Genomic DNA, 11104 nt, shown 5'->3' on the forward strand with positions numbered 1-11104 from the left:
AGAATTGGTACCAGTCTTAAAGACACTATTCCACAAGAGAGAGAAAGAAGGAATCCTCCCTAAATCATGAAGCCAGTATCACCCTAATACCAAAACCAGGAAAGGACATAACCAAAGAAGAAAACTACAGACCAATATCCTTGAACATAGATGCTAAAATCCTTAAGAAAATTCTAGCTAACTGATTCCAACAACATATCAAAAAGATAATCCACCATGATCAAGGGGTTTCATACCAGGGATGCAGGGATGGTTTAACATACACATGCGCGTAGCCAAAGCAAGACTAAGCAAAAAGAACAAATCTGAAGGCATCACATTACCTGATTTCAAACTTATACTATAAGGCCATAGTCACCAAAACAGCATGGTACGGTTATAAAAATAGGCACATGGACCAATGGAACAGAATAGAGAACCCAGAAATAAACCCAAATACTTACAGCCAACTGATCTTCAACAAAGCAAACAAAAACGTAAAGTGGAAAAAGGATACCCTTTTCAACAAATGGTGCTGGGATAATTGGCTAGCCACATGTAGGAGAATGAAACTGGATCCTCATCTCTCACTGTATACAAAAATCAACCCAAGATAAATTAAAGACTTAAATCTAAGACCTGAAACTATAAAAATTCTAAAAGATACCATTGGAAAAATCATTCTAGACATTGGCTTAGGCAAGGATTTCAAGCAAATGCAATAAAAACAAAGATAAATAGCTGGGACTCAATTAAACTAAAGAAATTTTGCACAGCAAAAGGAACAGTCAGCAGAGTAAACAGACAACCCACAGAGAAGGAGAAAATCTTTCATAATATATACATCTGAAAAAGAACAAATATCCAGAATCTACAATGAACTCCAACAAATCAGCAAGAAAAGCAGTCCCCTCAAAAAGTGGGCTAAGGACATGAATAGACCGTTCTTAAAAGGAGATATACAAATGGCCAATAAACATATGGAAAAATGCTCAACATCACTAATGATCAGGGAAATGCAAATCAAAACCACAGTGCGATACCGCCTTACTTCTGCAAGAATGGCCATAATAAAAAAATCAAAAAAATAGTAGATGTTGGCATGGATGTGGTGAACCCAGAACACTTCTACACTGCTGGTGGGAATGTAAACTAGTACAACCACTATGGAAAACAGTGTGGAGATTCCTTAAAGAACTAAAAGTAGAACTACCATTTGGTCCAGCAATCCCACTACTAGATATCCACCCAGAGGAAAAGAAGTCATTATACGAAAAAGATACGTGCACTCGCATGTTTATAGCAGCACAATTCGCAATTGCAAAAACGTGGAACCAACCCAAATGCCCATCAATCAATGCGTGGATAAAGTAACTGTGATATATATACATACAATGGAATACTCCTCAGCCATAAAAAGGAGTGAATTAATGGCATTCGCAGTGACCTGGATAAGATTGGAGACTATTATTCTAAGTGAAAGAACTCAGGAATGGAAAACCAAACATCGCTGTGTTCTCACTCATAAGTGGGAGCTAAGCTATGAGGATGCAAAGGCATAAGAATGACACAATGAACTTTGGGGACTCAGGGAGAAAGGGTGGGAAGGGGATGAGGAATAAAAGACAAAAATTGGGTGCAGTGTATACTGCTCAGGTGATGGGTGTACCAAAATCTCACAAATCACCACTAAAGAAGTTAACCAACACCACCTGTTCCCCAGTAACCTATGGAAAGAAAGAAATGTCTCATATGTTTCTGCCTAAATTGGTCTTTAATACTTTAGCGATTCTCTTGAGTTTGGACTATAAAATAGTTTTGGTCTTTTTGTATTTTCTGCTGTAAGCCTGTATGATTATGTAATGGTGAGTAAAATTGCTAGGCCAGATACGCAGTTCTAGGAAGTTATTCAAAGATGTGCTTTAGTATATTATTTTCTACCTTTTTAAATTCATTTTGAGCTTGGCTTTTGAGCCTCTATTTTCCAAGGTGAGGTGTATGTTTTTATAATGTTATGCTTAGCCCTTGTGTATTTTCATCTCTGAGTTTGAAATTTGGGGTTATATTGGCAAAGGGAGGTTTGGGTTTTAATTAGGTGACCTGTTACAGGAAATGTTAAGCTTCTGTTTCTTTGGGGTAGACAGTGAGAGATTTATCAAGATAAAGAAGAAAAATAAATCCTAAAGTTAATATTCAATACATGATGATGTCACCCTTACTAAAGCCAAAGAGGGCATTATCCTATCATTCTCATCGCTAAGAACTCTTCTCCTCTTGGCACATGCTTATTCAGTTAAAGATAAGCCAAGCCTTTCTTTTGTATTTTTTTTTTAAGAGAACAAATTTACTTCGGTTTTGAGTTTTATTCCTGGCTCTGGGTAGCTTATTTTTTTGACCCTTATTTTCCCCAATTTATAAAATGAAATAGTTATCTTCACTCCCCAGGATTGTTGTGAAGAGTAAGTCAAAAGATAAAATGAGGTGACTCAGGCAAAAGTACCTGGCCCTGTGTAGTGAGTACATTGTATGTGTTACATATATTCTTATTGCTGAGAATCCACGAAAGAATGAATTAAATAATGAGGACCCTTTCATCAGGGTTTTTGAGTGAGTTTTTTAAAATACAAGGTAGTAGTTTGTGTAAATACTAAATCCATTGGTACCTGTGCAGAATGTAGGAAATGGAGTTGCTAATTCCAAAAAAAACAGCACATATGCTGAGGAAAGTATAATACCTAATATATATGGTTTAAGCAATGTAAAATTCCATGAATATGTTCCTTTTCATCTTAAAATTTGTGATTTAAAAAACATTGTTATTACTATAAAGAATTATTATTATTTCCCTTGATTTACAGAGTATTGTTACAATCACATTTGAAGTACCAGGAAATGCAAAGGAAGAACATCTTAATATGTTTATTCAGGTGAATGCAATTTTTAACTGATTAATGATTTATCAATGGTTTTGTTACATAGTTGTTGCTATTAGCGATGGTTGGTCTTATTAAAATATGTCACTTGATACAGAATCTCCTGTGGGAAAAGAATGTGAGAAACAAGGACAATCACTGCATGGAGGTCATAAGGCTGAAGGTACAGTTTACTGTTGCAGACTTTTGGACAAAGTCCTTTTCTTGGCTGTTATAAAAACTATATTTGGTTTTAAACAGAAACACTGGTTTTAGTACAAATCATCTTTGTCTACTTTCATTTTTCTTTATTATTTTCATGACTGAAAAGGAGCTTTGGAAATCACTGCATAAGGCTTGATTTATTTGCACAACTTTCTTTAGGGTTGCAGCTAGAACAAACCTGTGCGCTTTGAAATGTTACCTTCTGCTCTCTGTTCCCAAGTACAGAGAAATAATGTTGCAAATCTCACTTCTGCTGAACATTATGCTTCCTGATGCATTTAGCAGACACTAAACATTTGTCATACTCTAAACAAAGTTACAAAGGACTAGAAGAATTCTTGTTCTGTATTTAGAAACCCACTCACATTACTTGATATTTGGGTATTTAAGTCATGAAAGGTATTTCTTCTAGGAAGCAGTGATTCTAAAGTGTATGCTTAACCAGTCAGTTGAGTGTCTACTCTTGTGTGTTCACAAGTGTACACAAAGTTTTTGGTAAATTAAGAATATTATTTCAAATAAATTAATTTCATCCCCATAGGAGCCAGTTTATCAGATAATTCGTTTCTCATTTCTGCAAATCAATACACAATGAGCTCATATTCAGATAAATATAATAGTTTTTCTTTATTTCAACATTGTTCATTGATTGCAACCCATTTCTAAAACAAATTATTTAATATAACCAAACTCCTTTAACTTCTCAACTTTTCCCACTAAAACTGTGAAACATTATATAAAATCTTTAATCAATAGGATATGATACATATTTCATCATTTTGTTTCAGGTTTTGGTTGTGATAAAAAACACTGAAAAACCATCCTAATATATGTATTAACTTTATCATTAGAAAAGGGGATTGTTCAAAAAAAAAACAATACACAGAAACCTTTTTTGAAAATTAAAAACATTAAGAAACTTCTTGTAATTCACAAATAATTGAAATTAAATAATTTTCTCAGCTTAAGAGTTTGTATTTTTTAAGTGAATATCAGTAATTAATCCATTAACATTGATGCTCTATTTCTGCTTTTAAGTTTGAACTGAGGCTGATCAATGTTCAATCAATTCTCCTTTGAGCAGGGATTGGTGTCAATCAAAGACAAATCACAACAAGTGATTGTCCAGGGTGTCCATGAGCTCTATGATCTGGAGGAGACTCCAGTGAGCTGGAAGGATGACACTGAGAGAACAAATCGATTGGTCCTCATTGGTAAGTCTCAAAGGATTCACAGTTTTAAAACAAAGTGAAAAATATATTTGAAAGGGATATCATGTGCCACTTAAACAGATTAACCATTCAGGTCCTCTTTTAAAACTAAATAAGCTTGTGGTCAATGTTTCATCTTTATCATGTTACAACGTTCGTAAAAGCTTGTTAGGACTTTTGTTCTTCTTCAGTTTTAGAAAAGTGGTTAATCCAAGGACCAATGTGACTTTGATGTACTGACCTGGAAAGTTAAAGATGGAATCACTCAATTACTATTCTTTTTGTAAATTTCTAAACACCATAAAGCATTTAATGAACTGGAATTGATAGGTGAACTGTGTCATTTTAATAAGCATAATGTAATCACGTCATATTTTGTTTTGTTTGCAGGCAGAAATTTAGATAAGGATATCCTTAAACAGCTGTTTATAGCTACTGTGACAGAAACAGAAAAGCAGTGGACAACACATTTCAAAGAAGATCAAGTTTGTACATAACACTAGTGGCATTTCTTATCAAAAGGATTGGATAATAAAAATAAGTTTCTACTGGGTATATTTCAAGCATTTATTTATTACTTTAGTTACGAATTCCAATATACTTTAAAATGGTATTTGTTTTACAGCATACATAAAATGTAGCAAATCAGTACTGTAAAACATTTAACATTCATACAATTATATATAATATCCTTTTTTTTAAAGAATGGTATTTCACAAAAATATCTTTTGAAATTGGCTTTGGAGTTTACATATACTGAACATGAAAGTTTATAATAATGATGATACAACTTTCAACATCGTCATTTTTTCTTAGAACTTCAGCTGATTGCAGAGATATAATGATTACATTGTTATTAAATTTTTTTAACACAAGTAAGTGTCACCATTTTATGACATGAAATAAAAGGTTATGACTGTTATTGATGTTGATGTTGACGACCTGATCACCTGGCTGAAGGAGTGTTTGTCAGGTTTCTGCATTGTAAAGTTACTCTTCTCCCCCATTTCATACTGTGCTCTTTGGAAGGAAATCACTATGCACAGCCCACACTAAAGGAATGGGGAGTTGTAGTGTACTTTCTTGGGAGTGGTCTACATAATTAATTGAAATTCTTCTGCAAGGGACAGTTGTCCCTTTCGCTTTATTAGTTTGATCATTTATGTTTATCAGTGTGGACACGAATATTTTATACTTTGGGTTACAATTTAATACTACTTTATTTTGTTGCTCAAATTTTCCCAGCTTTGACCATTGGGAACTCTTTCAGTTATCTCCTGTTCCCCCCTTTGACATACCCCCATCAATGTGGGTTTTGTGTTTTGTTTTTGAGCGCCTCCTTATTTTTCTCTTGTATTTTTAAATAACCCCAATCCCTATTGAAGCTGGCGCTAGGAAAACTAACAATACTCCCTTTCCCAGGTCATCCGATTCCTATGCTGATGGAGGAAATTTGCCTCACATGCTGGGGGGCGCTGGGGAGGAGGCGTCTGGGATTATGTGGTTGAATAAGACACCTGGCCTGGCCCTCCTGGAGCTTAGTTTAGTAGGTCACACAAGCAGTCATTGGTAAATTTGGGATTCAAACAAATCTGTTAGGCTCAAACCTGTCTGTTATTTGTCCTCCAAGCTTCATATAAACTGAGGAGCCCTAAAGGGTAAAAACTTCAGGAGCAGCAAAGTTTCAAAAAAAGATCAGCAAGAAAGCTCTTTTCCAGATTTTATCCTGAAGGCACTAGCTACTTTAAGCTATTTTTTATTATATTTTGCCCTTGCAGTTGGCGTTTGATTTCTCACTGAACATTCATTGTCATAATTATAGACACTATGTGACTATCAAGGGCATAATATTCTTTCATGCTGCATTTTTTATTAGATGGCACCTCAAAGTTTTCCCAAGTAGGTGGGTTTTAAATTATGAATATATACCGTGGCATAGTATCTTACTTAGTATTTTAATAAGAGCCTTATTTATATAACAAATATTTTTTTTTATTCCTCTGTAGTGCTACTTTAGTCTCTGAGCTAATTTTCATGAAGCCAATCTAAAAATCGCGTTACTTCTAAGGATGTGGAGCGAGTGAGATGAACAGTTGTGCTGTCATATTGCCCCTCCCCAGTGCAGATAGTGAATGAGGACCCACTGATTTAAAGGCAACACTGCAGCCCCTTCTTGCCTCATTGAAGTCCCAAGTTTTATTACAGTAAAAGCACTTAATGTTGACATTTCTGAAAGAATGAAGAGGCCGGGCACGGCGGCTCACGCCGGTAATCCCAGCACTTTGGGAGGCTGAGGCAAGCGGATCATGAGGTCAGGACATCGAGACCATCCTGGCTAACACGGTGAACCCCGTCTCTACTAAAAATACAAAAAATTAGCCAGGCGTGGTGGCGAGCGCCTGTAGTCCCATCTACTTGGGAGGCTGAGGCAGGAGAATGGCGTGAACCCAGGAGGCGGAGCTTGCAGTGAGCTGAGATCGCCCCACTGCACTCCAGCCTGGGCGACAGAGCGAGACTCCGTCCCAGATAAATAACCAACCAAATTAGCTGGGCGTGGTGGCGGGCGCCTGTAGTCCCAACTACTCAGGAGGCTGAGACAGGAGAATGGCGTGAACCCGGGAGGCGGAGCTTGCAGTGGTCCTAGATTGTGTCACTGCACTCCAGCCTGGGCGACAGAGCGACTCCGTCTCAAAAAAAAAAAAAAGGAGAAAAAGAATGAAGAGCCAGAGCCAGAGCCAGGCATAGTGGCACGCCTGTAGTCCCACCTACTCAGGAGGCTGAGGCGGGAGGATCACTTGAGCCCAGGAATTCAAAGCCAGCCTGCTCAACATAGACCCTGTCTCTAAAAATGAATTGGTTATAAAGGATGAAGAAAGGAAGGAGGAAAGGGAGAGAGAGAAGCCCTTATAGAGTGGGTGCATTTCTTGTATGTGGGGCCACTTTGTAAGAACAGGATTTTTCAAACTGGGCCCATACTGGTACGTGTGAAATCAACTTAGTTGGTTATGGCCATTTTTTTTTAAAAGGAAATATCAGTCATCACTATAGTGTAAGTATATTGTTTCGTGAAACCCATCTTAGTTATGTATTATGTCTGTATGTGTAAGATTGTTATATAAAATGTATTTCTGTGGTTAAATATTCAAAGAAATTGGAGAACCATTGCTACAAGGGGACAGAGGACTCCGTGTGAGCTCTCCTGCCTTCCCTGAATAAACTTACACAATTTAGTGCTGGGACATTTGGACCTTTTCTGAAAATTTGAGTCAGGGAGAGCATCTTGGGGAGGTGGGAAGGAAGGTAGAAGGAGCAAAGCAACACCCCCCTGAAGCCTGGGAATATTGTCAGAACCTTAAATATAATTCAGCTCACCATTCTGGGTAAGGACAGACTCTACCAATGAAAATGGGTGATTACCAGCTGTGAAACACAAAAACATACTTTTACGGTTACACATTCCTTTACAAACAACCGTGTACATTTCAGCCTCCTGCCCCACCATTTCTTTTCTCCAGGAGGGAAGGCTGCATGTCGAGGTGGTCATAGAATGTTGAGTATCATACTTTCCTACCTCGCTTTTATTTGCGCGGGTTTAAATGCGCCTTAACAGAACCCGTGCAAAGGCTTGCCAACTGTCTGGCTGCACCGGATGAGTAGAGCATCTTCCTTGGTGGCAGGTGGGTGCGAGGAGGAGGGGCCTGGGCTTTTCTCCGGACAGTGTTTGCCCAGAAGACCATCATCCCTGGACTACGTTAGGAGGAAGTGGCACCGCTCCGAGGTAGGGGAAGAAGGGTTATAAAGGGGGGAGTCCACCACACATGGTCTTGAAGAAGCTTTTATAAAAGGCAAAGGCATCTTTGCCGGACGTTGTTGCAAAGGAGTAGAAACAAGCAGACGAAAACATCCCAAAGGGTAACCACTAGCGTTCCTGCTTCTTGCAACATTCATCCCAGGCTTCCAGCTCAGCCCGCCCCAGGCCAGGTGATCGGCCGCCACATCCCCTGCGACTGAAGCACCTGCTCCTCCATGAACCTGCCAAGAGCTGAGCGCCCTCGCTCCACACCGCAGCGCAGCCTCCGGGACTCCGATGGGGAAGACGGTAAAATCGATGTCCTGGGAGAGGAGGAAGATGAAGACGAGGTGGAAGACGAGGAGGAGGAGGCGAGACAGCAGTTCCTAGAGCAGTCGCTCCAGCCGGGGCTGCAGGTGGCCCGGTGGGGCGGGGTTGCGCTTCCCCGAGAGCACATCGAGGGCGGCGGCGGCCCGAGTGACCCTTCAGAGTTTGGCACCAAGTTCAGGGCACCGCCAAGGTCTGCGGCGGCCTCTGAAGATGCCCGGCAGCCGGCAAAGCCCCCCTACTCGTACATCGCGCTCATCACCATGGCCATCCTGCAAAACCCGCACAAGCGCCTCACGCTCAGCGGCATCTGCGCCTTCATTAGTGGCCGCTTCCCATACTACCGCCGCAAGTTCCCCGCCTGGCAGAACAGCATCCGCCACAACCTCTCGCTGAACGACTGCTTCGTTAAGATCCCCCGCGAGCCGGGCCACCCAGGCAAGGGCAACTACTGGAGCCTGGACCCCGCCTCCCAGGACATGTTCGACAATGGCAGCTTTCTCCGGCGTAGGAAGCGTTTCAAGCGCCACCAACTGACCCCGGGAGCCCACCTGCCCCACCCCTTCCCTCTACCTGCTGCACACGCCGCCCTGCACAACCCCCACCCAGGCCCTCTGCTTGGGGCCCCTGCCCCGCCGCAGCCAGTCCCGGGGGCCTACCCCAACACCGCCCCCGGGAGACGCCCTTACGCTCTGCTGCACCCGCATCCTCTTCGCTACCTACTGCTCTCGGCCCGCGTCTATGCCGGGGCACCGAAGAAAGCAGAAGGCGCGGACCTGGCGACCCCGGCACCCTTCCCGTGCTGCAGCCCTCACTTGGTCCTCAGCCTTGGGAGGAGGGCAAGGGTCTGGCGTCGCCACCGGGAGGCGGATGCTTCTCTTTCAGCATTGAGAGTATTATGCAAGGGGTCAGGGGAGCGGGTACAGGGGCTGCGCAGAGTTTGTCCCCGACCGCGTGGAGCTACTGCCACCTGCTCCAGCGACCATCAAGCCTGTTGCATCCCCAAACCGCTGCCCCTTTGCTGCAAGTGTCCGCCGCCGCTGCTGCTCGGACAATTTTGCAGCAATAGCAGCAGCATCAGGAGGACTGCGCCAACGGCTGCGCTCCCACCAAGGGCGCGGTGCTGGGCGGGCACCTGTCGGCCTCGTCGGCGCTGCTGAGGTATCAGGCAGTGGCGGAGGGCTCTAGGCTGACATCGCTGGCTGCCCCTTTGGGCGGAGAGGGGACCTCACCAGTTTTTTTAGTATCGCCCACGCCCAGTTCCCTGGCCAACTCCGCAGGGCCCTCCTAGAGCCAGGTGGGAGTGGGGAGCGACCCGCAGCTGCTCACTCCACCTTGCGCGGCCCATACTGGGCGTGTGCATCTGAATCCCGCTGGAGAGCAAACACGAACTTCTGTTCGTTCGCTGCAAAATGGTTAGAAAGATTACATTCCTCTAAGCTGGATTACGTTCCTCTAAAAACCACCTGAACGTAACCTTCGCAGGGCGTCAAGTCATCTTTTCTTGCCTTCGGTTGTGGCTTCTATGGCTGTCCCGATTTGCACATTGTCATCTTTGAAGATTAGTGACATAGCATTCATCTTCTGTTGTCACCTTTTCCGTCATTCCCTGTATGCCTGATGGACAGGTTTCACTGAAGTTCAGAGAACAGCATGCAAAATTAGCTACCAATTAATCTTTATGAAGTGAGCTGCATTTCTAGCCACACTGAGCTTATGTTTTAGCAGGAAGCATTTTTGGGAAATGTTTATGTTAGAGTTTGCCCTTCTTGACAAGGTGAGACATAAATGTCTACTTTAGAGACATGAATTAAGATGGGAAGATATTTGGGGGAATCATTTACTCAAACGCTAAGTAATAAAGGTACACAAAGGGCAAATTATACTAGATTTCTTTCCCACTTGTTTTCTATGTCTCTTGCAATTCACCTTGATTCCCTTCAGTTTCTGTTTAATGTAGAAAGTGGCATTTTCATTATTTTAAGCTTCTAGCACAATGAAAGAATTTCTCTTTTTCATGAACAGGATCATAAATGAAAGGGAGGAAGAGTGTCCTATATCATATTTATTGTTCAACAAAACACTGCTCCACGGCTTCAATTCAGTTTAAAAAAGAGAATTTATTGAACATTTAACACATACATAAAAGGCAGTAAAGACAAATGAGAAGAGGGGGGGATATTGAAGTATACGGACTTCAATGCTGAGTTTTACATCTTAGGAAGTTACTCCACCTTACAGAGGCTCAATTTCCCCTGATTTAGGAAGGCGATGCTAATGGGTATTGCATAGGTGTAAGTATAAAAATGTTGTATTTAAGAGAATCCCACAAGCTTGGTATAAGGCAGAAAATAAATAGATGTGACATGAATAAGTAGTTTATTACATTTGTATGCTACCTGCGGACTAGAGGAAGCAAGAAAAACAGCCACTATGCTTGATTAGCATTATAGAGATGGTACAATGATGGTTGCCAGAAGCTGGGGGGAGGAAGAAATGGGGAAGTATTGTTTAATGGGTATAGAGTTTCAGTTTTACAAGATGAAACGAATTATGGAGATGGATGGTAGGGACGGCTGCACAATGTTATGACTATATTTAGTACCACTGAACTGTACACTTAAAATGGTTAACAGAGTACATTTTATGTTATGTGTATT

At 41.5% G+C, this 11104-nt stretch overlaps 2 protein-coding genes across 17 annotated transcripts in view, besides 1 other annotated feature; both read left to right on the top strand.

The window, feature by feature from the left end:
- Positions 1-5249, top strand: part of ZNG1E (Zn regulated GTPase metalloprotein activator 1E) — an 81063-nt gene extending 75814 nt beyond the window's left edge. For 12 of the 16 annotated variants that reach the window (XM_047422963.1, XM_017014456.2, XM_024447453.2 and 9 more), the window contains 4 exons: positions 2838-2906; positions 3010-3075; positions 4201-4330; positions 4718-5249. In XM_047422963.1, coding sequence (XP_047278919.1) covers positions 2838-2906; positions 3010-3075; positions 4201-4330; positions 4718-4824 — 372 coding nt within the window. In that variant the 3' untranslated portion in view covers positions 4825-5249. The remainder of the gene's footprint in view (positions 1-2837; positions 2907-3009; positions 3076-4200; positions 4331-4717) is intronic. The other 4 variants (XM_006716914.2, XM_047422961.1, XM_017014455.2 and 1 more) reach the window with 1 other exon arrangement.
- Positions 5250-8353: 3104 nt separating this feature from the next.
- Positions 8354-9604, top strand: FOXD4L4 (forkhead box D4 like 4). The gene has a single exon (NM_199244.3). The coding sequence runs from the start codon at positions 8354-8356 to the stop codon at positions 9602-9604; it is 1251 nt and encodes a 416-aa protein (NP_954714.2).
- Positions 9097-9633: an enhancer, noted in NCBI's record as "H3K27ac-H3K4me1 hESC enhancer chr9:70427620-70428156 (GRCh37/hg19 assembly coordinates)". NCBI's record gives its function as "activates a minimal SCP1, AML or CMV promoter by ChIP-STARR-seq in primed H9 embryonic stem cells {active_cell/tissue: H9 hESC(primed)}" and the evidence as "EXISTENCE:reporter gene assay evidence [ECO:0000049][PMID:30033119]".

The sequence above is a fragment of the Homo sapiens genome, chromosome 9 (assembly GCF_000001405.40).
Source record: "Homo sapiens chromosome 9, GRCh38.p14 Primary Assembly".
NCBI classification, from domain to species: domain Eukaryota; kingdom Metazoa; phylum Chordata; class Mammalia; order Primates; family Hominidae; genus Homo; species Homo sapiens.

Bases quoted from the DNA above. Each gene is read 5' to 3' on its own strand.
- FOXD4L4 (NM_199244.3), top strand. From the start codon at position 8,354: ATGAACCTGCCAAGAGCTGAGCGCCCTCGCTCCACACCGCAGCGCAGC.